Source organism: Homo sapiens, chromosome 3 (assembly GCF_000001405.40).
Source record: "Homo sapiens chromosome 3, GRCh38.p14 Primary Assembly".
Lineage (NCBI taxonomy): Eukaryota > Metazoa > Chordata > Mammalia > Primates > Hominidae > Homo > Homo sapiens.
The window spans coordinates 177,174,072-177,200,766 of NC_000003.12; the positions used below are offsets into that span (position 1 = coordinate 177,174,072).

General features: G+C 44.1%; 1 protein-coding gene across 14 annotated transcripts in view, besides 9 other annotated features; it reads right to left on the reverse strand.

The window, feature by feature from the left end:
- Nucleotides 1-26,695, reverse strand: part of TBL1XR1 (TBL1X/Y related 1) — a 182,457-nt gene that overhangs the window by 154,728 nt on the left and 1,034 nt on the right. For 8 of the 14 annotated variants that reach the window (NM_001374327.1, XM_011513142.3, NM_001374330.1 and 5 more), the window contains exon 1: nt 23,050-23,411. The exons of 1 other annotated variant lie outside the window; for it this stretch is intronic. The gene's annotated coding sequence lies outside the window, so the exon portion shown is untranslated. Of the gene's footprint in view, nt 1-22,268; nt 22,408-23,049; nt 23,412-26,695 lie in introns of those variants that run through there. 5 more of the 14 variants (NM_001321195.3, NM_001321193.3, NM_001374328.1 and 2 more) reach the window with 1 other exon arrangement.
- Nucleotides 7,410-7,704: a silencer, noted in NCBI's record as "tiled region #10853; HepG2 Repressive DNase matched - State 8:EnhW, and K562 Repressive non-DNase unmatched - State 14:Gen5'". NCBI's record gives its function as "represses a minimal TATA promoter and a strong SV40 promoter by Sharpr-MPRA in HepG2 and K562 cells {active_cell/tissue: HepG2 | K562}" and the evidence as "EXISTENCE:reporter gene assay evidence [ECO:0000049][PMID:27701403]".
- Nucleotides 19,629-20,219: an enhancer, noted in NCBI's record as "NANOG-H3K27ac hESC enhancer chr3:176911488-176912078 (GRCh37/hg19 assembly coordinates)". NCBI's record gives its function as "activates a minimal SCP1, AML or CMV promoter by ChIP-STARR-seq in primed H9 embryonic stem cells {active_cell/tissue: H9 hESC(primed)}" and the evidence as "EXISTENCE:reporter gene assay evidence [ECO:0000049][PMID:30033119]".
- Nucleotides 22,453-22,502: a silencer, noted in NCBI's record as "silent region_14902". NCBI's record gives its function as "represses an Ori minimal core promoter by ATAC-STARR-seq in GM12878 lymphoblastoid cells {active_cell/tissue: GM12878}" and the evidence as "EXISTENCE:reporter gene assay evidence [ECO:0000049][PMID:35858748]".
- Nucleotides 22,983-23,082: a silencer, noted in NCBI's record as "silent region_14903". NCBI's record gives its function as "represses an Ori minimal core promoter by ATAC-STARR-seq in GM12878 lymphoblastoid cells {active_cell/tissue: GM12878}" and the evidence as "EXISTENCE:reporter gene assay evidence [ECO:0000049][PMID:35858748]".
- Nucleotides 22,983-23,497: a biological region, named in NCBI's record as "NANOG-H3K27ac-H3K4me1 hESC enhancer GRCh37_chr3:176914847-176915356".
- Nucleotides 22,988-23,497: an enhancer, noted in NCBI's record as "NANOG-H3K27ac-H3K4me1 hESC enhancer chr3:176914847-176915356 (GRCh37/hg19 assembly coordinates)". NCBI's record gives its function as "activates a minimal SCP1, AML or CMV promoter by ChIP-STARR-seq in naive H9 embryonic stem cells {active_cell/tissue: H9 hESC(naive)}" and the evidence as "EXISTENCE:reporter gene assay evidence [ECO:0000049][PMID:30033119]".
- Nucleotides 23,193-23,382: a silencer, noted in NCBI's record as "silent region_14904". NCBI's record gives its function as "represses an Ori minimal core promoter by ATAC-STARR-seq in GM12878 lymphoblastoid cells {active_cell/tissue: GM12878}" and the evidence as "EXISTENCE:reporter gene assay evidence [ECO:0000049][PMID:35858748]".
- Nucleotides 23,498-24,005: an enhancer, noted in NCBI's record as "H3K27ac hESC enhancer chr3:176915357-176915864 (GRCh37/hg19 assembly coordinates)". NCBI's record gives its function as "activates a minimal SCP1, AML or CMV promoter by ChIP-STARR-seq in naive H9 embryonic stem cells {active_cell/tissue: H9 hESC(naive)}" and the evidence as "EXISTENCE:reporter gene assay evidence [ECO:0000049][PMID:30033119]".
- Nucleotides 23,623-24,002: a silencer, noted in NCBI's record as "silent region_14905". NCBI's record gives its function as "represses an Ori minimal core promoter by ATAC-STARR-seq in GM12878 lymphoblastoid cells {active_cell/tissue: GM12878}" and the evidence as "EXISTENCE:reporter gene assay evidence [ECO:0000049][PMID:35858748]".

Genomic DNA, 26,695 nt, shown 5'->3' on the forward strand with positions numbered 1-26,695 from the left:
GACTATTCTCAAATAAGCATCTAATTTATTTATCCCTTGGTTAAGGTTATTATGATGACAGGCCGGGTGCGGTGGCTCACGCCTGTACTCCCAGCACTTTTGGAGGCCAAGGCGGATCACGAGGTCAGGAAATGGAGACCATCCTGGCTAACCAGTGAAACCCCGTCTGTAGTAAAAATACAAAAAAATTAGCCGGCCGGAGTGGCAAGCACCTGTAGTCCCAGCTACTGGGGAGGCTGAGGCAGAAGAATGGCGTGAACCCAGGAGGCAGAGCTTGCAGTGAGCTGAGATAGTGCCACTGCACTCCGGCCTGGGTGACAGAGCGAGACTCCATCTCAAAAAAAAAAAAAAAAAAAAAAGGTTATGATGATGACAAAGGATTCCTCATTCTCAATAGCAACTTCCCATAACACACCCTCCTGCTTTAGCTTTTGTCCATTAGCTATTCAGAAGCAAATTAATTCCCCATCCCAACAAACTCCCAATCTTCATACTCCTGTTCCCCAGAAAAAGAGGAGCAGTAGCAAGCCAGAAAGGAGACCCGGATGCTTAGCTCTTTTCAATACCACTCTCTTATGAATCTCCAATTGCATTTTTTGCAGAATTCAGAAACATGAACTAGTTTGCAATACTCCAAGAATTACTGGTGTCATTCACACCTATTACACTACTACCAGCTCAACTTTCTCCCCTGTCCAGAGCTAAGGCCCTTCCCTCCCAAATCCTCATCTCATCCTTCACACACTACACATCCAAGGTTGAAACATAATCCTGCCGTTCCGTTTAAAATCCTTCACTAGTTCCTATTACGGTCAGAAGAATGTCCTTAGGCACAGCAAAGAAGTCACTTTATGATATGAGCCCTGCTTACCAATTTCCAGCTCCTTCTCATCATTTACCAACTTAAAAACTGTACGCTAGACATAAACAAAACTGTTTGCCAGAAAAGACCAAACTGTTTGGCATCTTTATTCCCTGACACCTGCCTTCTTCTCATGTCTTATTTTTTATGGTAAATTATTTTAATGTACACTGGTTCTCAATTAGCACTTAATATAAGCAGCTCCTGAAACTTATTTTAGTATTTAGAAGATTATAAATGTGAATAACATTGTATTGTACTACTTAACAAACACAGTTTTAGTACACAATTTCCAAGACAAAGCAAAATAAAAGCTTAGCTGCTGAAGAATTGGCTTTGACATTCAGGAATCATACCATGAAAATAAAGATATTAAAGGAAAAAAAATCATTCTCAAAAATGTGTTTGGTGATATTATTTTAATTCTCTCTTCCATGAAACAGAATGTAACAAATGCACCTGAACTCACAAGTTTAATGAATAAAATAGAAGTTTCCTCTTCAGATATCTAAAAAATATTTTGAGACTAATGTATTCAAAATTGAGAACGTGCCTGGAAAACGCAAATGTTTTAAGAAAAACCAGTGCAGGCAGAGATCAGTATTGTACACACTCCCTGTAATTTGGGTGAACACACTTAATTTTTTAAATTATATATGCAATCATAGGGTTAAAGAACATTAGGTCCAGAAAAAACCTCTCAGAGATTCAACATAACGTGTTAAGGATGAAGCAACTGAAATCCAGAAACAAATATCTTAAGTCACAAAAGGCTTATTCTACATGGCAACCCATTTACTTATTTTGGTGACCTAATGAAGCATTAAAATAATAAGTTATTCAGGCCAGGCGCGGTGGCTCATGCCTGTAATCCTAGCACTTTGGGAGGCCGAGGCGTGCGGATCTCGAGGTCAGGAGATCGAGACCATCCTGACTAACACGGTGAAACCCCATCTCTACTAAAAATACAAAAATTAGCCGGGCGTGGTGGTGGGCGCCTGTAGTCCCAGCTACTCAGGAGGCTGAGGCAGGAGAATGGCGGGTGAACCCAGGAGACAGAGCTTGCAGTGAGCCCACATAGCGCCACTGCACTCCAGCCTGGGCAACAGAGCGAGACTCTGTCTCTAAAAAAAAAAAAAAATTAATTAAAATAAACAAATAAATAAATTTGCAGCACTGATATCTGGGGGAAAATTTAAAAAGTAAAATAAATAAAAATCAATAAAATAATAAGTTGTTCAGAATATGTAACTTGTTAATTTTCTTGTTTTTTGTTTTTGAGATGGAGTCTGGCTCTGTCGCCCAGGCTGGAATGCAGTGGTGCGATCTCGGCTCACTGCAACACCTCCGCCCCCTGGGCTCAAGCGATTCTCCTGCCTCAGCCTCCCGAGTAGCTGCGATTACAGGCTTGCGCCACCATGCCTGGCTAATTTTTGTATTTTTAATAGAGACGGAATTTCACCATGTTGGCCAGGCTGGTCTCGAACTCCTGACCTCAGATGATCCACCCACCTCGGCCTCCCAAAGTACTGGGAATACATGTGTGAGCCACTGGTTAATTTTCTTAAATGCTAATATTATTTAAATGTTTGATTATGGCTGGGCAAGCTGGCTCACACCTGTAATCCCAGCACTTTGGGAGGCCAAGGCAGGTGAATCACCTGAGGTCAGGAGTTCGAGACCAGCCCGGCCAACATGGAGAAACCCTCATCTCTATTAAAAACACAAAAAATTAGCCAGGCGTGATGGCGCATGCCTGTAATCCCACCTATTCAGGAGGCTGAGGCAGCAAAGTCACTTGAACACGGGAGGCAGAGGTTGCAGTGAGCCAAGATTGCGCCACTGCACTCCAGCCTGGGCAGAAGAAAAACTCTGTCTCAAAAAAGAAATTTAAAAATTAGCTGGCTATGGTGGGGCACGTCTGTAGTCCCAGCTACTGACGAGGCTGAGGTGGGAGGATTCCTTGAGCCCAGGAGGTCAAGGCTGCAGGAGGCAGTGATCGCACCACTTTACTCCAGCTTGGGCAACAAAGGGAAGCCATCTCAATTTTTTGAAAAAGGAAAATAGCAGGGCTGTTGACAGAGATTACTGGTAGCATCCAAATGGGTCTGGTTCCGGTTGCTCCTAAATCCCAGCTGACTCAATGCTCTTCCCAATCAATCAGTCCACTTTTGGATTCCATATGCCAATGCCAATGAATACCCTTTTTAACTTAAGCCAAAAGTTTGCATGAAGTTTCTATCATATAACTAAAGGAGTTCTGACCCATGCACTTTGGGAGTCCAAAGCAGGCGGATCACGAGGTCAGGAGTCCGAGACCAGCCTGACCAACACGGTGAAACCCCATCTCTACTAAAAATACAAAAATTAACCGGGTGTGGTGGCGTGCGCCCGTTATCCCAGCTACTCAGGAGGCTGAAGAAGGAGAATCACTCGAACCCAGGAGGCAGAGGTTGCAGTGAACCGAGATTGCGCCACTGCACTCCAGCCTAGGCGACAGAGCAAGACTCCATCTCAAAAAAAATAAAAATAAAAATAAAACATTAACTTCTCATTTATGATTATCATCAGTACAAAGCACATTTTCAGATTGGTCCATCAATTATCCATTTACCCGTTTTTTCTATTATTTGACTCGATTGCCATCTTTAAGTATGGCACTCACATATGTCCCTGGGCTTCCAAATTTCAACATTTAGTAAAACCTCTTCTGACCCTCCCCTAAATGCTAACCTTTTAATAAATTATTTCCAGTACTCTAATTATAAGGATGAACCAATTTAAGACTACCAGCTAATCATGAAAACATACCTAAGACAACAATCCACTCAACTATTTATTACGAACCTGCTAGGTCCTGTTCTAGGTAGCTGCAGACAGAATGACACATAAAATAGAGCCCCTCCCTGTTCTCATGCAGTTTAAATTCTGGAGGGACGTTTAAAAAAAAAAACAATGATCAAAGTTACTTCAGAGAGACAAAACTGCAACGTGGAGAATAAGGGTCTGATGGCTGAAAACTGCCGCGGGTGGGCAGTAATTTCAGTGTAACCTCTCTGAGGTGTTGGCATTGGAACTGAGAGGGAATGACATAAAAGAATCAGCTATATAACAATCTCAGGGCAGAGTATGAGGCAAAGAACAAAGTAATTAAGACGCTGAGACAGGAATAAGCTTGTTCAGTGGGTGTGGAGCTGGAATGGCTGGGCACGGTGAACAAGGTGAAACAAGATAAGGTTTGTGAGGTGGCCAGGGGCCAGATCGCACAGCAGAGTTTGGGGAGGAGGGACCCTCATAGGCTAAGATGTTTGAACTTTATACTGAGTGTGATCAAAAACCCTTAAAGGAAGGGGAAAGAGAAGAAAATGACATTTACTGGGCATCTAATATAGTACCAGATTTTAAAAATAAGTATAAATGTTTCTTCTGTGCACTCTATAAAACAATATAAGCATTCCCGGAAAACTTGACTTTACACAGTCACATGCTAAAAGTAACAAGCACTTTATGAGAAAAAAAAAGGAAGACCATCCCTATGCCACTTTGTAACCAAAATATTAACAAAGGCAATGTGAATAAAAATACAAATAAAAATGTTTAATATTAAGTTCCTAATAAAGATACAACTTTCAGGTGAAGGAAGCACACTAAGCAGGTAATTCCAGCACTTTGGGATGCCCAGGCAGGCGGATCACCTGAGGTCAGGAGTTCGAGACCAGCTTGACCAACATGGAGAAGCCCTAATTATACAGGAATCCAGCGATCTATTGGAAAAATAAAGGAGATGGGACCATATTTTAAGACAAGTTGTGGAAAAGGTTCCAGGATCAAACTGGGTAGGGTATAAATATTCTTCACCCATGGAACTGCTGTGGTTTCTTTTCTTTTATAACCTGATTATCAGTCAGGCGCAGTGGTTCACGCCTGTAACCCCAGCACTTTGGGAGGCCGAGGCTGGTGGATCACCTGAGATCAGGAGATCGAGACCATCCTGGCTAACACGGTGAAACCCCGTTCTACTAAAAATACAAAAATTAGCCGGGTGTGGTGGCGGGTGCCTGTAATCCCACCTACTCGGGAGGCGGAGGCAAGAGAATTGCTTGAAGCCGGGAGGTGGCAATTGCAGTGAGCCAAGATCACGCCATTGCACTCCAGCCTGGGCAACAAGAGCGAAACTACGTCTCAAAAAAAAAAAAAAAAAAAAAAAAGATACTTGGGGCTGTGAAGAGATGGGGGAGAATCGCACAACAACCCCCTCCAAAAACTTCAAAGACTAAAAACATGGCCAAACTAGGCCAACAGGAAGAATTCACAAGTGGCCACCATGGCTTGTTTCATTCAGCTCTTAGTGTACTTTGAGCTCGACTATTGTTACCTGATGCAAAACATGAATATGCTGGGGAAAATCACGTATGAACCAGAGCAATCTCCTTGTTGTACTGACATAATTCTCGTATTTACCAATTACATATGAGCCTATTCCGGATACAGACACACGCTGGAGCACAACCAAGTATTCTTTTAACTTACGGTATCTGTTTTATTCTAACTAAATTCTTAAGAGATAAGTCATGGCATTTTGCAAATATGGGAACTGAAGCTCAAGAGAGGCAGGTAAAATGTATCCAAAGTTTCTCCCAGGAGTGAAGCTAAAGGTTGCAGAAGTTATTCCTAAACCCAACCTCAAAGTTGCAACTACTCTTGGGAGGGCTTCAAACCAAGACCTTTAAATTCTACCATGTGCATTCACCATATTTATCAAAGACCATTAGCATGCTGTTATGGTTCCTGTCATTACCAGTTCTCACTTGTAACAAGTCACTTCTATGTTGATTTGTCAGAACAAAGGAGCCAACCAACCGATATATCTACTAGCAAAATACACATGAATCATCTGGAAGAAAACGCAAGAAAGGCAAATGAGGCTAGATAAAATGAGGCAGCTAGATTCACCAGCATATCTGACACAAAAAAGGGAACAAACCAAGTAGAGAAGCAACAAATTAAAAAACATACCCACTACAGGCTGGGTGCAGTCGCTCATGCCTGTAATCCCAGCACTTTGGGAGGCCAAGGCAGGCAATCATGAGGTCAGGAGATCGAGACCATCCTGGCCAACATGGTGAAACCCTATCTCTACTAAAATACAAAAAATTAGCCAGGCATGGTGGCACGTGCCTGTAATCCCAGCTACTTGGGAGGCTGGGGCAGGAGAATTGCCTGAATCCGGGAGGCGTGGGTTGCAGTGAGCTGAGATCGTGTCACTGCACTCCAGCCTGGTGACGGAGCAAGACTCCGTCTCAAAAAAAAAAAAAAAAAAAAAAGCATACCCACTACAAGAAACAGAGCCCAGAGATACAAAAGATTAAAGTACCTACTTTAATCTACAGACAAGTAAACAAAGGGTAAAAAAGGGAAAAGCCCATAAATACGTTCATTCCCCCCCCCCCCATTTAATAGTACCTTGTCTGTTTTAACAACATTCAGAGGAAAACAAAAATGTTACTCATTTAAATATTACTCTCCTTGGAGTTTTTTTAATCTGCTGACGACTTTTTTAAACTTTTATTTTTAAATATTTTTTAGAATATCACTAAAATACTGTTGCAATCATTTTAAGTTCAAAGTTTTAAAACCGAAAATCCTATATTCTCTGACAGTAAATTCTGGTTTCTAGAAAGTAGCTCAAAAACAAATGCGTCATCCTCTACTTTGGAAGGTTCCAAATGATAACAGAATCAAATCTACCAAGACCCCTCATCCCAACCAAATGTCTCTAAATACCAAGATCTCAGATTACCCTGGAATTTTTTTTTTTTTGAGACGGAGATTTGCTCTTGTCACCCAGGCTGGAGTGCAATGACATGATCTCAGCTCCCTGCAACCTCTGCCTCCTGGGTTCAAGGGATTCTCCTGCCTCAGCCTCTGGAGTAGCTACGATTACAGGCCACCACGCCCTGCTAGTTTTTTGTATTTTTAGTAAAGACGGGGGTTTCACCATGTTGGTCAGGCTGGTCTTGAACTCCTGACCTCAGGTGATCCACCCACCTCGGCCTACCACCAAGTACTAGGATTAGAGGCGTGACCCATGGCACTGGACCCCAGACCCGCTATCCTGGATATTTTCATCAGTGAGCTAGAAGTAGAGGATGTTGCCTCAGCTCACTCTGACAACTCGGTGTTGCCATCACCTACTCCCATTTCTTCCAACTCTGAACCTCCTCTATTCTCCAACTCTGTCTTGTCGCAACTCATTGTCATTAAATGAAAATCTGAACTGGCGCAGGTGTAATCTCAGCACTCTGGGAGGCCACGGTGGGTGGATCGCTTGAGGCCAGGTGTTCCAGACCAGCCTGGCCAACACGGTGAAACCCCATCTCTACTAGTAATACAAAAATTAGCCAGGTGTGGTGGCACACGCCTATAATCCCAGCTACTCAGGAGGCTGAGGCATGAGAATCACCTGAACCCGGGAGGTGGAGGTTACAGTAAGCCAAGAGCATGCCACCACACTCCAGCCTGAGTGACAGAGCCAGACTCCGTCTTAAAAAAAAAAAAAAAGAACGCCTCTGCCAGCCTACACTCAACAGTAGAAAACACGGGAAAATACAAGATGTCCCCATGCTAGATTGTGATAGATTCCATGCTAGCAGATCAGGAGAGGAGGAGGTCGGAAGAACCAATCTGGGCCACAGAATCACTTGTGCAACTGGTTTAAAGAGACAAAGGACACAGAGTATACACATCCTTTGACCTCTGAGGGAAAACCACAGTCAAAGAGAAGGGCAGCAGTAGATGTATGGACTGGGTATGCAAGACCATGAATCAGAAAAAAAGCCAGGCAAGAATCATATGCCAGTATCAGGTAAACGTAAGGGTTCAAGTTAGGAAAAAAAAAAAAAAACACACACATGATGAAGGGTCTAAAGAGACTGCAGAATACATAAATATCAGGAAGAAGTGGGCAAGCCCAAATAACACCCCAATTCAGGTTTAACTGCTACGGTCAGGCCAAGGTCTTTGAATCTTTTACCCACATTTTGAGTATATTCCTTGTTTCCCCTAGCAAGTTCTACACTGTTTTCAAGCCAAAAGGATTCTGCAGATGACAAAAACCAAAGAGCAGGGTGCCAGGTTATCAAGCAGACCCTCAAAATTCTTACAGCACAGCCAGTCCCAGTGGCTCATGCCTATTGTAATCCCAGCAGTTTGGGAAGCTACAGCAGGTGGATCACTTGAGCCCAGGAGTTCAAGACCAGCCTGGGCAACATAGTGAGACCCCCATCTCTACCAAAAAACACAAAAATTAGCCGGGAATGGTGGCGTAGTAGTCCCAGATACTCAAGAGGCTGAGGTGATAGGACCACCTGAGCCCGGGGAGTTCAGGGCTGCAGTGAGCCATGACCGTGCCACTGCCCTCCAGCCTGGGTGACAGAGTAAGATCCTGTCTCAGAAAAAGAAGAAAACTCTGACAGCAGGAACACAGTAAGTTCTAAGGACAATTAATTTGTGAAACTGGATGTATCTCCTTTCCAGTTTTGTATATGTGAATCACTCACAAAAGCAACAAGAGTCTACTGTACTAGCAAACGTATACCTCAGTCAGAGCCTCATAGGATTCAACTCAACAATGGAAAGGCTAAAGAGTGCCAGGCACTGTACCAGATGCTGAGGGTCAAGATGGGTGAGAGAGACCTGTTTTCAAGGAAGGATCTCTGCCTAGTGAGATGAGGCAACAAATAACTCTCAATCAAGGAGAGGCCTGTGCTAGAAACACATGACTAGTGGTCATCATTGGCAAGGATGTTAATTTAAGACTGTCACGGAAAGAAGCCTAATGCTTAATCTTCAATCAAATAGTGTAACTTCATGCAGGCAACATGTTATGGCATGTAAATTTTTTTAAAACAATATAATTATCCAAACTTCTTCTCTAATGGGATATAAGAAACTTTATATAATGGTCATTCTTCTAAGTACTGTCCTTTATGAGAAGCATTCAGGGTTCCTAAGCTACAGCTGTTCAGATTTTCCCTCCAAAACTCTTAAATTTACATTTAAGAGCAATCAAAATTCCTTATCATTTGTATCTTACTTCTTATGTATGCCTTACAAAATTGAGGCACCATAACTTCAGAATCCTCATACAGCTTCAGAATACAACCTAAAGACATTAGCACCAATAAATGTAACTCATCCATGCTCTGTCATTCAGAACGTCGACGTTTCTGAGTACTGACTCTAAATCCATAAAAGTAGAAAAGTACAATTCTATACTCCTTTGAACGAGTATTTTCTAAATTCACTGAATAAAATTAAGTAATAAAATTCATTTAGGTTTATAAAAGCATGTTTTTAAATGAAGAGTACAGAAAATGTGTGTGCATAAGTTCCTGATAACCCTTCAGTTATTTCTGCATGTATACATACCCTGTGTTGTGCCATATGGATTTTTAGTGAGAATCCATGTTAACGTTTGTGTAAAATTTAACATATATATTTGAAGTGACTGATAAAGCAGTTGTCAGTTGTCAACCAGAGCAGTGTTGCCTGGAGAAAAGTAGGGATTCCACTCCGGAAAGCAAAAATTTTTTTGAGACGGAGTTTCACTCCTTCACCCAGGCTGGAGTGCAGTGGTGCGATTTTGGCTCACTGCAACCTCCGCCTCCCGGGTTCAAGTGATTCTCCTGCCTCAGCCTCCGCAGCTGGGATTACAGGCACCCGCCACTACACCTTGCGAATTTTTTCCTCAAACTCCTGACCTCAGGTGATCCACCCACCTCAGCCTCCCAAAGTGCTGGGATTACAGGCATGAGCCACTGCGCCCGACCAAAAAACTTTATTTTTAAGAAAGGTACAATCTTCTTTTTCTTGAAACATCTAATCGGCCGGGCATGGTGGCTCACGCCTGTAATCCCAGCACTTCGGGAGGCCAAGGCAAGGTGGATCACCTGAAGTCAGGAGCTCGAGACCAGCTCTTCACCACAGTAACATACTGAGAGTTCACTGCCAAAAATGAGACAAAGACTCTCCTACCTAGTCTCCTGTTACTGCTGAGAAGAGGGCCATGACAGTGCCCTCAAAGGAAGGCTAGTGTCAAAGTCACAGTGCAGCACAATTCTGTGCACCAAAACAGGTGCTCCCTTTCTCTGAGGTTGCTCCAGTTGAAGTTGAAAATGAGCACAACTAGAAGGCAAGCCCCTTTACTGGTAAACTAAATAGCCAACAAAAAGCTGCAAGTGACACAATTGCAAATGACACCAACTGCAACCAAAAATAGCATTAAAATCTAATATATCTGTCACCTTGACATCAATAACACATACATCTAAGTTTGTAAGTCATGACAGGATCGGTGCAGTATCAGAAGCCATAGTTCCACAAATCCCATTGTGCCAAATACTATAATTATTAAAGTCAACCACTATGAGAACCCCAATATTCACCTAATGTCCAAACCCTTGGCAAAGCAATACCTTTGAAATAAGACAAAATGTAGTACTTCTGGACAACCAAAACCTCCTAAAGTTTGCACTAAATTATTTTCTAAGTATCAAGCTTGGATAGGATTCAAAATTCACCAGTTGGCCAGGTGCGGTGGCTCACGCCTGTAATCTCAGCACTTTGGGAGGCAGAGGCCAGTGGATCACCTTAGGTCAGGAGTTCAAGACCAGCTTGTCCAACATGGTGAAATCCCGTCTCTACTAAAAATACAAAATTAGCCAGGTATGGTGGCACATGCCTGTAGTCCCAGCTACTCAGGAGGCTGAGACAGGAGAATCACTTGAACCCTGGAGGCAGAGGCTGCAGTAAGCCGATCGCACCACTGCACTCCAGCCTGGATGAGACAGAGCAAGACTGTGGCTCAAAAAAAAAAAAAAATCATCACTGATTCACCACTGGTCTAAGGACCCAGTCATGAAACAGAAACAACACTTGTTAATCATACCACTACTCTAATTCTGCCAACAAGTCTGAAAAATGAAAATAAGTGTTTACAGAAATATACAGTTACAGCTCTTTAAGAACTGACTGAAAAGCACAGGAGAAATTAACATCATTTTCCCCCTTCTTTTGACCATCCTATCCAAATCCAAAGAAATAAAGTTTTTAAAAGCTTAACCACATGCCTCGATTTTTCAATTTTTTTTTCAAAATGGTAATAAGAACATCAACAGTTCAAAAGGTTACACATGAAAATAAGTCTCTCTGACATCTGACTACATAATCTACCTACCCCAACAGCATTGTTATCAGTCTCTTCCACAGCTTTCTAGAGTCACTCTAAGCACACACAACAAGCATATATAAATACACACATACTCATACACACTGTATTGCATGTGTCCTCCTTTCCAGTCTTCTACCCCTTAAGTTAAAATAGCAGCCAACCGGCCAGGGGCAGTGGCTCACGCCAGTAATTCCAGCACTTTGGGAGGCCGAGGAGGATGGATCACTTGAGGTCAGGATTTCAAGACCAGCCTGGCCAACATGGCGAAACCCCATTTCTACTTAAGTACAAAAAAATTAGCCAAGCATGGTGGCATGAGCCTGTCCCAGCTACTCAGGAGCCTGAGGCAGGGGCATCACTTGGACCCAGGAAGCGGAGGTCACTGTGAGCCAAGATCAACGCCATTGCACTCCAGTCTGGGTCACAGAATGAGACTGTTTCCAAAAAAAAAAAACCAGTATTTTCTGACCCTTTGTCTTTTCATTTAAAAGTATCTTTGAGAAGGTCCCTTATTAACAAAAAAATCAAACACCAAATCTAAATAAATATATAAAAGAAGCATTGGCTGGGCACAGCAGCTCACACCAATAATCCCAACACTTTGGGAGGCAGGAGGACTGCTTGAGTCCAGGAATTCGAGACCAGCCTGAGCAACATAGTGAGATCCTCTCTCTACAAAAAATTAAAAATAAAAAAATTGGCTGGGCATGGTGCTGCTCGTCTGTAGTCCTACCTACTCAGGAGGCTGAGGTAGGAGGACTGCTTAAGCCCAGGAGTTGGAGGGTAAAGTGAGCCATGTTCACACCACTGCACTCCAGCCCAGGTGACAGAGCAAGACCCTGCCTCAAATAAATAAATAAATAAATATAAGTAAATAAAGGAACACTTCACATCTCTCACCAGGTGTCAAAACTAGTGACCTCTGCCAGCAGGACACAAGGAAGTCCAAGGTCAAAGATGTATTCCCATGATACACCTGGGGTTTTTTTGCACAAGAACACAATACAATAACAGTCTGCACTCCTAACCCCAGTCTGTAATTTTACAAATGTATATCCGTTACTAAAGAGGACAGAGAACAGTAATTTAAAGAAAACCCATCATTTTACTAGGGGAAAAATCTTAAGCATGTATATTACATTGTTATATGAATGAGTGCCAAAGAGCACTGCTACAGCTACAAATCGTATCCTAAAATCCTTATTTTTTATAAGTTCTGCCCCATAAAAAGGTAATTGCAGAAAAAGAAAAGATAAATTCATTATCTATTCTCATTACCTTATTTCAGAAACCCAAAGTAGATGAGTCAATTGCCTTATACTGTGAGTTAATGACATATGATAGCCACTAAACAGAAATGTAGCAACATTAGTATACACTCTTCCCAATTAGCCTGTTGAAATTAAAGGAAGAGAATAAAACATCTCTCCCTAACCCATAAACTGTGTTCTATTCACAGTTGAAGGTAACCACTAAAATATGTTATTACTATACCCCATCTGGCAAGGTGTTTGCTTATGCTCATGTCACATACTTTCCAGACTATTACTCTATGAAAGGCTGTAGATTTTTAGTACTTAAATACTCTAAAAAAAATTTCCATATAGATCCCCGTCAAAACTCATAAAATTGAAATCATGGCCAGTCGTGGTGTCTCACACCTGTAATCCCAGCACTTTGGGAGCCTGAGGCTGGCAGATCACTTAAAAGTCAGGAGTTCGGCCAGGCGTGGTGGCTCACGCCTGTAATTCCAGCACTTTGGGAGGCCGAGGCGGGCGGATCACAAGGTCAGGAGATCGAGACCATCCCGGCTAACAGGATGAAACCCCGTCTCTCCTAAAAACACAAAAAAATTAGCCGGGCGTGGTGGCGGGCCCCTGCAGTCCCAGCTACTCAGGAGGCTGAGGCAGGAGAATGGCATGAACCCGGGAGGCGGAGTGTGCCATGAGCCGAGATCGTGCCACTGTACTCCAGCCTGGGCAACAGAGCAAGACTCTGTCTCAAAAAAAAAAAAAAGTCAGGAGTTCGAGACCAACCTGGCCAACATGGCAAAACCCTATCTCTACTAAAAATACAAAAATTAGCCATGTGTGGTGGCGGGCGCCTGCAATCCCAGCTGCTCGGGAGACTGAGGCAGGGAGAATCGCTTGAACCCGGGAGGCAGAGGTTGCAGTGAACCAAGATTGTGCTATTGCACTCCAGTCTGGACAACAGAGACTCTATCTCAAAAAAAAAAAAAAAAAAGAATCCTAGGATCTTAATAAAGGAATTGAAGTATCGAGTATACTCATTCAAGTATTTGCACAAATAAGAGAACTTCAGGTAACATTTCATCTGATCATCTTAATAGACATTTATAGAAGCTAAGTGATTTACTCATGTAACCATGGCTTTACAAAGAATTGGTTTAAAAATACTTGTTTGCTTAATATTAGACCCATGTTAAAATGCTACCCCATTCAAGCAGATGCAAACTAAGAACAAAAAACAAAAGCATCCACTCAAAAACTGAGTCACTGAATGTCTCTTTACAATGTCCCGCTCTCCACTGTGCTGAAAAAGACACAATGAGAAGAAAAGAGAAACACAAAAGGTTATCAGGAAAAAAAGCACTTATTGATTCCACATCCGATCTCAGACAAAATACCGAAGATATCAAATAGACTGACACCTAGTTTATTAAAAAGTTAAAAAAAAATCCACCATTTTAAGGTAATTAAAATTTTTAAACATTTAAAAAGAAAAAAAAAAAAGCTTGAGAGTCCAGAGTACAATTTCCTTTTTTTTTTTTTTTTTTTTTTTTGAGATGGAGTCTCGCTCTATTGCCCAGGCAGGAATACAGTGGCACGATCTCAGCTCATGGCAACCTCCACCTCCCAGGTTCAGGCTAACAGGTAGCTGGGATTACAGGCACATGCCACCACACCCGGCTAATTTCTGTATTTTTAGTAGAGACGGGGTTTTACCATGTTGGTCAGGCTGGTCTCGAACTCCTGACCTCGTGATCCACCCACCTCGGCCTCCCAAAGTGCTGGGATTACAGGCATCAGCCACCGTGCCCGGCCCAGAGAATACAATTTCATATAAAAAAGAATTACTGTCCAGGCACAGTGGCTCACACCTGTAATCCCACCAGCACTTTGGGAGGCCAAGGTGGGCAGATCACCTGAGGTCAGAGGTTCAAACCAGCCTGGCCAACATGGCGAAACTCCATCTCTACTAAAAATACAAAATTAGGTAGGTGTGGTGGCACATGCCTGTAATCCCAGCTACTCAGAAGGCTGAGGCAGGAGAACTGCTTGAACCTGGGAGGTGGAGGGTGCAGTGAGCCAAAATTGCGCCATTGCACTCCAGCCTGGGCAACAAGAGCAAACCTCCGTCAAAAAAAAGAAATTACTCTATTAAGATACCGTAATGACCATCTCTGACCCTTGCAGCCCAGAGTTTTGTTTTTTTAAATTCTACCTCCTGAAACCTTCAATAAAGGGGAAAATAGGTGGCAAACTTCACAGTTTAAATGTTCAACAGGTATTCCTCCTCCCTCATCCCTCAAACCTATTCATTTCACATAAATCTCCTGAATCTGGGTACTCTATGTTTACCAAAATGTATTAACCTTTCAGCATGATCCTTACAGTCCACACTAATTCTGAGTTACAAATCTAAGCTCTCAGAAAGCAGAGCTTTCAATCTAACTCATTTTGTTTGATTCAAAATCATGCTGAAAAGCTTACATTCTATACATAAATATTAAAAATTTTGGGCGGGTGCGGTGGCTCACGCCTGTAATCCCAGCACTTGGGGAGGCCGAGGCGGGTGGATCACGAGGTCAGGGGTTCAAGACCAGCCTGGCCAACATAACGAAACCCTATCTCTACTAAAAATACAAAAAAATTAGCCGGGCATGGTGGCACGTTCCTGTAGTCCCAGCTACTCAGGAGGCTGAGGCAGTAGAATCGCTTGAACCCAGGAGGTGGAGATTGCAGTGAGCCAAGATCATGCCACTGCACTCCAGCTTAGGCAACAGAATGAGTCTTTGTCTCAAAATAAAAATAAGAAATAACAATTTCAGGCCAGGTGTGGTGGCTCACGCCTATAATCCCAGCACTCTGGGAAGCCGAGGTGGGCAGATAACAAGGCCCAGAGGTTCAAGACCAGCCTGGCCAACAAGGTGATATCCCATCTCTACTAAAAATACAAAAATTAGCTGGGCGTGGTGGTACACGCCTGTTAGTCCCAGCAATTTGGGAGGCCAAGGTGGGTGGATCACCTGAAGTCAAGAGTTCAAGACCAGCCTAGCCAACATGGTGAAACCCCATCTCTACTAAAATTACAAAAAAATTAGCCAGGCGTGGTGGCCAGCACCTGTAATCCCAGCTACTTGGGAGGCTAAGGCAGGAGAATCGCTTGAACCCAGGGGGCGGAGGTTGCAGTGAGCGGAGATCACATCCAGCCAGTCTGGGAGACAGAGCAAGACTCCATCTCAAAAAAAAAAAAAAAAGAAGGATGTAACACCAAATTAGTTGCCTTTATAGTCAATTACCCTGGTTGGCTGGAACTAATACAGCACAGTCTTACCATAAAAATTTACTGAAGGGAGATGGTTAAGAGACATTCTTCTGGTAGATAAAACTCACTTACATTGTATAATACATATATCCTATACTGAATGTTAATAAATTAATAGTAATGGCTCAAATGAAACTCCAGTGCAGTCAGAATGCTGTAAAACAGTGAGATCTAAAAACACTATCTTAACTTAGGTACACTACTAAGGAAATAATGAAGAAAAAACCTAACAGATTAAGAAAATAAAGTTCTAGCTGGGCGTGTAAGCGGACACCTGTAATCCCAGCTACTGGGGAGGCTGAAGCAGGAAAATCGCTTGAACCCAGGAGACGGAGGTTTCAGTGAGCCAAGCATGTGCCATTGCACTCCAGCCCGGGCAACAAGAGTGAAACTCCATCTCAAAAAAAAAAAAAAAAAAAAAAAAAAAAAGAGTCCAAAATCTTAAGCATCATTATACCTAACTACCTGACACATATATAACCAGATAAAGTCAACTTACTGTGACACAATTCCTAACTAGACTAGGTTTTCCCCCAGTACTGTGGCTACTATTCCAGAATTAAAAGGGCAAAACCATCCATTTTCTTTTTTTGTGTATGTGACGGAGTTGATGCTCTTGTTGACCAGGCTGGAGTGCAGTGGCGCAATCTCAGTTCACTGCAGCCTCCGCCTCCCGGGTTGAAGCTATTCTCCTGCCTCAGCCTCCTGAGTAGCTAGGATTATAGGCGTGTGCCACCACTCCCAGCTAATTTTTTGTATTTTTAGTAGAGCTAAACATTTTATCATGTTAGCCAGGCTGGTCTCAAACTCCTGACCTCAGGTGATCCCCCTGCCTGGGCCTCCCAAAGTGCAGAGATTACAGGCGTGGGCCACCGTACCCAGTCAAAACCATCCATTTTCATCTAAGAAACTAACAAATTTTTCTTCCTTTGCAACTCTGGCAGCACTAAAATTTAAATGAACAGTTAAATGTGACTATAGCACACCTAAATCTTTAAGGTCTAACTCAAAAAGAAGATGCTGCCACATTACAGTGGAACAGGGCTGTCACTGCTCCCATTTTAACACAGGCCCTCACAATCCATTTTAACATGAAAATGGTATTAAGAACTCTGCCAAATGCTGGAAGGAAAAAGGTCCATCCGTTCAAGAAACATCGTAGTTGGGGCAACAAAACAATAAACAGTTATGGGATTTGTGATCTTCATTAAGTGCAATGGAATCTCAGAGAAGAAATATCCTGAGTCAGGATGGCCAGAAAAGGATTCATGGAAGAAGGGGGACTGAAACTAGGCTATAAGAAGGACAAAGGGAACAACAGCATGCACAAAAGCAAAGTAGTGAGTATGGCAAAAACTACCGTATTTGAGAGGCCGGCAAGAATCCCAACTAAGAGTGAGAAATAAAGCTGAATAGGTAGAATGGAACCTTCTTAAAAGCCAGACTGAAGCATACAAATTCAATCCAGTTGGCAAAGAGAATCCATTATGGGTTCTCCAGCAGGGGAACTGACAAGATGAAACCAGTACTTTAAATAAATTACACTGTCAGTAGTTACAGAAGATAAAATGAATAAGAAAGGTTGCTCAGGGCAACCAAATAAAAACTTAATAATCCAGACCTACAACCATTCATTCATTGAGAAGACAGACTGCTAGGTAACAACACTGGCCTAGAATTCACACAAACTGGGCCTAAATTCCTGCTCTGTCCCCTACTACCTGAGCCTCAATTTTCTCACTGTTAAATTCAGGCATCAGCACTCAGACTGTCACAGTACTTGTCAAAGCACCTGTATAGTCCTGATACATAGAACTTTTGACTATTAGCAAAGTGAACACTAGTGCTAAATTAAGTATGGTTAAAAATGGGAAGTGAACATAAGATAAGGCTCATAGAGGAACTGAACTTCTAAGGACAACTATCTAGACAGCATCTGATAATACGGAAAAGAATACACAGATAAAAAGTGGTCAGGAAAAATAAAATAAAACCACCTACCCAAAGTAATCACTACAGCCTAAAAGGCAGACCCTAGGTTCTGCTGGACCCAAACCTTGAAAGAGTTCCCTTTGTATTTAAAGAGTTTGCCTGGCACGGTGGCTCATGCCTGTAATCCCAGCACTTTGGGAGGCCGAGACGGGCGGTCAGGAGTTCGAGACCAGCCTGACCAACATGGTGAAACCCCATCTCTACTAAAGATACAAGAAATTAGCCAGGCAAGTGACAGGCGCCTGTAATCCCAGCTACTTGGGAGGCTGAGGTAGGGGAATCGCTTGAACCCGGGAGGCAGAGGTTGCAGTGAGCCGAGATCGCACCATTGCACTCCAGCATGGGTGACAGAGCAAGACTCTGTCTCAAAAAAAAAAAAAAAAGAGTTGAAGCTGGGCGCGGTGGCTCACGCCTGTAATCCCAGCACTTTGGGAGGCCAAAGCGGGCAGATCACAAGGTCAAGAGATGGAGACCACATGGTGAAACCCCGTCTCTACTAAAAATACAAAAATTAGCTGGGCGTGGTGGCGCATGCCTATAATCCCAGCTAGGAGGCTGAGGCAGGAGAATCGCTTGAACCCAGGAGGCGCGAGGTTGCAGTAAGAGGAGATCGCGCCATTGCACTCCAACCTGCACTCCAACCTGGGCAACAAACAAAGTGAGACTTTATCTCAAAAAAAAAAAAAAAAGAAAGAAAGTAAGTTGAAAAATGTTTCAAATGGTGCAAGTAGGCTTAAGAAGTCCAACCCAGATGACAGAATAGCAACAAAGGCATGCAAAAAAGATCCACCACCGTACCTACACCAATCATGTAAATTATTCATAGTATATGTAAGCCTTAAACCACAACTTTTTAAGAGTAAAAAAAACCAAGCTAAGTTTACTTCAAATGGGTTACTTAGGAAATGGAGCTATCAAATCCTTCCTATGACATTATGCCCCTACTAAAATAAATAACAAGCAAATAAAATGTAATACAAAGAAACAAACTTCAAAAATCAAACCTATCAGGAGCAACTTACACTTACAGGATGCTTAGAATGTCAACCATTGTTCTAAGTACCTCTCACACACTAACTGGATCTTCTTAACTCTATGAAAGTTGACTGTCCCCTTACACTGATGAAGAAACAAACACATTAGGGCCAGGCGCAATGTGGCTCATGCCTATAATCCCAGCCCTTTGGGAGGCCGAGGCAGGCACGTTACCTGAGGTCAGGAGTTCGAGACCAGCCTGGCCAACATGCTGAAACCCCATCTCTACTAAAAACACAAAAATTAGCCGGGAGTGGTGGCAAGCACCTGTAATCCCAGCTACTTGGGAGGCTGAGGCAGGAGAATCACTTGAACCCAGGAGGCGGAGGTTGCAGTGAGCCGAGATCGCGCCACTGCACTCCAGCCTGGGCAACAGAGCGAAACTCCGTCTCAAAAAAATAAAATAAAATAAAATTTTAAAAAATAAATAAAACGTATGAGGAGCTACTACCCCAACATCACAGCTAGTAAAGGATAGAGCCTGAGTTTGAACTCACTTTAACCACTATGCTACAACACAAAGACTTCAATGATTTTTCTTACACAAATTTTTTGTTTGTTTGTTTTTGAGAGGGTGTCTCCCTCTATCGCCCAGGCTGGAGTGCAATGGCGCGATCTTGGCTCACTGCAACCTCCACCTCCTGGGTTCAAGCGATTCTCCCACCTCAGCCTCCCGAGTAGCTGGGACTACAGGTACCCGCCACCACGCCCAGCTAATTTGTGTATTTTTAGTAGAGACGGGGATTCACCATGCTGGCCAAGATGGTCTCAATCTCTTGACCTCGTGATCCGCCCGCCTTGGCCTTCCAAAGTGCTTGGATTACAGGCGTGAGCCACTGCACCCAGCAAGACTGCATCTTATTAAATGGTGCTAGGGAATTCAGCACAATGATATGAGTTCTATCAATTTCATTTACCCATGTAATCACTCGACCCATTTAGTACAGACGCTCAACTATAGATCATAAACTTGATTAGAAACACAAGTTTTTGGAAGGATGATCTACACGGATCAAGACTAACAAAACAGCTGGGAAAATTCCGCAGATTCAGTCATCTAAGACAGACCCAGGTTTGAATCCTAGTGTTCATTTAATAATTTTGTGGCCTTGAACAAGGGAATTAACTTCTTTGCATCTCTGTTTCATCATCCACAAAAAAAGCCCAACACTATCTACCTCATAGGATTAGCCTAGGGTATAAACAGCATAGAAAGCACCTCACACCTCCTAGAGCATAGCCCGGAGCACCTAGTCCCTCTCCTCTGGCTCTATGGTTACAGGGCAATTAATTGCACTCTTACCGAATCCAATCCCAGAGGGGTAAACAGCCAAATCTCTCCAGCATCAGCGCTCTCAGAGTCTTTTCTTTTTAACTTCAAGTTTCTATTGGTGGCAGAGCAGGAGATACCACCTTCGTGGTACCTAAACTGAACGATACTCAACAATTCTTTACTACACAGCTCTAGGGTCCTAGCCCTCCTCTACTACCAGAATGTCTGAGCATAAAGTATAAATGTCTCGTGTTAGCTGCTTTCCTTTTTTGCATTTCAGTGACTTATACTGTAAATGTTATTTGTGAAATGAGTCCAATTCACATGCACTAGAAAAATACAAGTTCTAGTGAATACCAATGTTTCTGCCATGCCTCTCCCCTGACTTCCTACCATTCACATTCTTCTTTATTCTTTTTATATAAATGACACCAAAAATTGAACAAACCCAACAAATTATTTCAACCAACTTCATCAAAATGTGTCAAGTCAGGAATTCTTTATAATAGTACTGCTACAAGTTGTACTAGGGAGATTCCTTTGTCAGCTACTCGTCTGACAAGGTTGTATATATACTGCACTGATAGATTTAATCAACAAGTTGATGTTCAAAAGGTCTATTAATACATTTCCTTTTATCAGTACCCCTTATATTTATATTACCTTCTGTTAGCTTGAAAGGCTCCTAGAACACAGGAAGCAGTTACCTCTAATTCTTTCGGGAGACTGGTGTCATGGTAATCATGCAAAACCTTTAATTAGGTGTCGAGAATACAAATATCAAAAAGATTCTTAGACATACGTATTAAAATGCTTAACACTTCTTTGAAGCAACCAATGCAAAAATATCATCTCTGCAAGGGGTCACTCCATTTACCACCAGTGTCTCCCACATTAATACCCAAAGCTGGTATACGTTAAAAGAAAAATGTCATAAACTGACGGTGAGCTTTGCAACAATTTTTATGCCATTAACATGTCACTTTATTAAGTTCCTTAGCAATAAGAAAAACTTTTCCCAGGCACGTAGTTTTCGTCCCCCATACAGTTTAGTATTTTGTCCTGTAGGTCGGATTCCAACAACTCAAACGTCAAAAAAAATAGTAGTTATTTATGAATTTAATGATTGCGATTACATACATCTCAGTGCAGGATAGGGTTGAAAAAAAAAATCATATTCCAAACAAGAAAACCTGGATTTAAGAGCAAGAAGCCTAATCACACATCACACGCCTAACTGCTCTCAGGCATACTTTCTTCCTGCAGCCCCTCCCCCACAGGTAAATGCTAACTATTTCTAGAACTCTCAACTATTTGGGAAGCTTGCCATCAACTCCCATGATACCACCCAACCCACACCATGTTTTCGGGGAGACAAAGGTGCCCTACTTCCCCAGACTATAAACTATTAAAATGGTGAGAACATACAATCCCAGGAAGTCGGCATTACTAAAATACATCAATGTAGCATGGGTCTTATTTTAACAAAAATGAAAATGAATCACACTGGAAAACCCAAACAGTCACTCATTGTATCTTCAACGTGTAATCGAAATTATTTATTCCAAGTTATTTCAGGTAAGTAGATGAACACACCACGAGGGCCTTATTATCCAAACTGGTGAAGAAGCCTTTAGGAAAAACGGAGGGGGAAGATCACTTAATTATATGAGGTGGGGGGTAGAGCAACCATTCAGTCTTAAAATTCAAACTAAAAATAACCTGGCATTTTCACCCCCCACATTTTATTAACAAGCTTGTTTAGATCAGCATACGGTTCCTGTTTGGAAAACAAGAAAGTGAATAGTAAACTTTCCTAAGTCAACTGTAAATCACATAGGTACTAAAACTCTTCACCCCTGGTGCCTGCACAGTCCAAGATTTCAAGTAAACTCCAGACACTGAGAACACCTAATTTTTAACTAGTTTCCAACATTTCTCATTTGTAATCACCAAATTATCTTAGAGACACTTAGATAACCTAACAAAGAGAGCATTTTTTAAAAGCCACAACCCAAATTTTACATGAAATACACCATTTTCACAACCTAAATTTAATCCCGGTTGCCACTGCGAAGTGATGCCTGTTTCAGCAAATTAAGAACTTCCAAAAATACTGAACACGTTAACACATGCATGGCTTCCCTCGAGCTGCCATTTAAGATTAATATTCCACTTAAATAAAAGTCTGCTTCTGTTCAAAAAATTAAATCGGTTGCAAAGAGGAAGTTACCGAGAAACCACCCTCACAACGTGGCCTTTACACTGTCAGAAAATAACGTGACTCTGTGCCACCCAAAACTTACCAGGAAGCTGGCAATAACTTTGCCAATTCTACACTCCTGAACCCAACTTCAAAGAGCCTCCACCAAATACCTCCTTAAGACGATAAAAAGCACTAAGTTACAAATAAACACGTCCCGGAGCAAGGCCCGGCTGCCGCGCGCCCCTCCCCCGGCCGGCGCCCCCGCCCCGGACGCGCGGCCCCAACAGCCGCCCGCAGCCCCCAGCACGCCGGCCGGGGTCGCCGCGCCCGGGCCGGGGACGCGCCCGGGGAGGGGAGATTTCCATTGCCGCCCGAGGTTTCACAAAATAGCATGCACCGAAAAGCTCCTTCTCCTCTGCTAAAAATAGGCTATAAAGGAGTCGGCCTCATGATGGCTCCTTGATTCAATTTGCTGCAAATCCTTTCCTGAAAGCCTCCCCCCCCAAACACACACGCACAAAAAGGGGGTGTAAATGCACGAAGGGAGGAAGAGGGGGAGAAGGCCGAGGTGCACATTTTCGGGGACAACATAATTAGGGTGAGGATCCCCCGAGACCGGGAAAGGGTAGGGGGGTGGGCAGGCACGTGAGCATTTCAAAGAAACCTGAGAGAGGAAAACGGGGGGATGGGGGCGCCCCAAGTGCCCTCCCTGCCTTCCCTTCCCCCACGCAAGCCCAGTTCCCCCAAGGGCCAAGTTGAAAAATGCATGTTCCACTCGCGCCCATCCCCCCGCGGCCCAGCGCCCCCGGCCGCCTCTGGCCCGCGCCCCCCGCCCAGGCCCCCGGCCGCCCCCACTCCAGGGTCCGGCCCCCAGCGCTTACCTGGAAACGGTGGCCTCCAACGCCGCTCCCCCCTCCCGGGAATGGAGGCACAAGGAAATTCCCCTCCTCGCCGCCGCCGCCACCGCCTCCAACCACCCCCAAAATAACCCCTCCGGGGGGTGAGAGGCAATTATAACCCCAGCGAGCGGAGGGCGCGGGGGATGGGCGCCGGGCGGGCGGGGGCGGGGAGCGCGGCGCGGGTCCCCAGGTGGCGAGCGGAGGTGCTCCCGCCGCGGGGGGAGGGGCGGGGGCGCACGCGGCCGGCGGCGGGGGGAGGCGGCGCGCGGGGGAAGGGCGCGAGCGGGGAGAGGAATTGAGGCAGAAGGTAAAAGCTGTTACTAAGGGAAAGAGCCAAACGGTTCGGAGCAGCCAACGGCTCAGACACTCAACACTGGGGAGAGAGGAATGGGGACCAGCCAGGCACAAATGAGCTCGCGAGGCCCGCGGCGGCGGCGGCGGCGGCGGCCGCGCAGCAAAACAAACCCGAGCGGCCTGCGCCGGGCGGGCGGGCGAGCGGGCGGGCGGGCGCGCGGGGGAGGGGCCGGCGGGGGAGGGGCGCCGCGGACGCCGGGAGGCGGCGGCGGCGCGGCGGGGGGGCTCCAGCGGCCGCGCTCCTCTCCTTCCCGGCCCGCTCTGGCGGCACTGGGGGCTGGGCTGTGCGGCGCATTCTTTTAAAAATCAGGCGAGCCCCGCGGGCACTCGAAGGCGCCTCGGGGCCCCGGGCCGCCCGCCCCGCCCCCACCGCCGCGGGCCGGCCTGGGTGTGCTCGGGTGTGGGCCGCTGGGCCCGAGACGGGTGGGGGCGGGGAGGCCCGCGCGGTGGCCGGGGTGGAGCCGCCGGCGAAGTTTCCCCAAGGACGCCGCGGGCTCCCGCGTGTCCGGGGGGCGGCCCGGCGGCGTTGGGGGCTGGGCGCACACGCGGCGGGCATGTGGGGGAGTGCGGCGCGGCATCATATGGACATTTGTTTGTGAAAATCTCTGTGAACACCTTTGTGTGCGTAAATACATATGGTTCTCCGAAGCGTACCTGGAAAGGTGCTTTATCTGTAATAAGCGACTTTCAAAATGTGATCCAGAGCACGGGATCTGGAGAGAAAACACGCACACAAGAAAAGGTTTTTGATACTAAACACAAAGCTGTAATTGAAGTATTTATGCCCAAATGTACTGTGAATCAAGCATATGGTGGTATTTATCATCTGGTGGGTCTGTTTGAAAGGTTTGCTCGATCAGTTCTTATTTCACAAAAATAAAATAATGTAACTAAATGTTTACTAAATATATACCTGCACAGTGGCATCCACAGTAGAAGTTTATCCACTTTGTGTACTTTTTGCATGTGTGAAGCACAGCAAGGCGGTTTATAAAGTATAACTTAGATGAGTGATAATGTGGCAGTATGGTTGAGGGAGGGTTGTTTTTAAAGAAGGGAGGCACCTCACAGGTTTTAAAGCAAATGGGGTGGTAATCTTTCTAAGACTTTCAGAAAGATGGGGTAGGGTGCTTTTTAGAGCTTTGTATAAGCTCAGGACTGGAGAAGCAGCCACCCTTTTACATTAAGATACGACTTGAAACCTTTTTGTTATTTCGCTTATTACTGCCTTCAAAGCAAAATAATGTTTGCAGCTTTCTTAAAGGTGAAGGGTTCTGTTTTCCTACTTTCATCAGAATATTTGAAAATAGATGTAGTGATCACTTTAAAGCAACCATCATTTCCTCTCAATATCAGAAACCTGAAGTTTTGCGACACACACACACACACACACACACACACACACACACACACACTACTCGTAACTTGCACCAGTCTGGACTCCTGGTGGCCTAATAAGTTCAGTAATTAGACAGGTGCTTTCTTGGCCAAGGTCAATGTCTCTTTCCCCCCTGAGCCCTTGCTTGGGGGAGCTGCCAGAGGCCTTTCCTGAATGACCTAGTGGGGCAGGGAGCAGGAAAACCATCAGAGGAAAGGGAGTGGGATTGGAAACTCCCTTCCAACCACCAGAGAGTTCAAAGCATATTAGTGGTGTGTCCTTAGAGCTATTTTCATGTATGAAAGTGGGAATGTTGGATTAAACAATGTCACCCGATGGGAATTTAGATAACTGCAGGTTTCCAAAACACTATGCAGAGTGTACAGGGAAACCGCACAAAGCAAGTTTTGCATTTCAATAGGATTCTAAAGCTGAGGCTTGTTTACCTCAGAACTAACACCTTTCAGAAGACTTTATTTCAGAATTGAAAAGAGTATATAGTATCTTCCTTTTTTTTTTTTTGAGTTGATAAATGACGTAGATATCACTAAACATACCCTGTCTTCAGTAAGTAAACTATCTCGGTGGAGCCACTCAATGAAACATATCTATTGGCTTAGATTATTTTTTAAGTTTCATATTGTGCCACCACGGGCGGGTCCTCTCCATACAGCAGTGACTGTAAAATCAAACCCCACTTTCAGTGAGTGAGGACTTCTCAACCATACCATTCTTAAAGCGTCATATTCAAAGCTGCCCACCCCACCCCTTCTCCTTCCCCTAAATGACTTCTATCCCTTATTCCACAAGGGAGGAGACACCCTCCTTCAGGTTCATAGGATCAGGTCTTCCAGCCTGAAGTTCTTATACCCTACACCAAGCTGCCTCCTAAAGTTGTTCAGTGTTAGTTGAGCCTCCTCACAATGATAATAATCCATGCATTTGTTTATATCCCTGTAGTTTACAAGACATTTCTGTGCGTAAATGACTGCATTTAAATATGAAGATCATCGAGGCTGGGGACTTACAAATCCGTTGCAGTAAAATGTACTTTACTCACCACTGTTGGATCATACTAATTGAAGAGAGAGGAGAGAGCAGGAGTACATTTTTTTTTTTTAGGTGGAGTTTCGCTCTTGTCGCCCAGGCTAGAGTGCAATGGCGGAATGTCGGCTCACTGCAACCTCTGCCTCCCAGGTTCAAGCGATTCTCCTGTCTCAGCCTCCCGAGTAGTTGGGATTACAGGCATGCACCACCACGCCTGGCTAATTTTGTATTTTTAGTAGAGATGGGGTTTCTCCATGTTGGTCAGGCTCGTCTCAAACTCCCGACCTCAAGTCATCTGCCTGCCTCAGCCTCCCAAAGTGTTGGGATTACAGGCGTGAGCCACTGTGCCCGGCAGCCTGGAGTGTTTTTAAACAAACAAACAAAAATAGGGGCACCCAAATGTGGAAAGGCCTTGATTCTTCCAGCAAAGGGGGTTTTAAATCAGATCATATTTTGATCCCTTTGATTTTTATATTCTGGAAACTATCTGAAACAACAGTGTGGCTTCAATGTTAAATACTCAGAGAAATAAACCATCACTCAAAGGTCATATGTATTGTCGCCTCGCCCTCTAGCTGTCCCAACATATCCAGCATAAAGGATCAGGGCTGCACCAAAATACAAGCAATGATTAGACTCACTGGGTGAGGAAAGGACAAAGAAGGAACTATTGTTACTAATATTCAGTACTTTGTCCTAATCTAACACTCCCATTACACTTTGAATTAAATGTTAATGTGTTTCTAGAAAGGAGATATTACTGTATTACTAAGAAATTGTAAAGCAAAGGAACACATTAAGTTCTCCGCTGGGTGTGGTGGTTCACGCCTGTAATCCTAGCATTTTGGG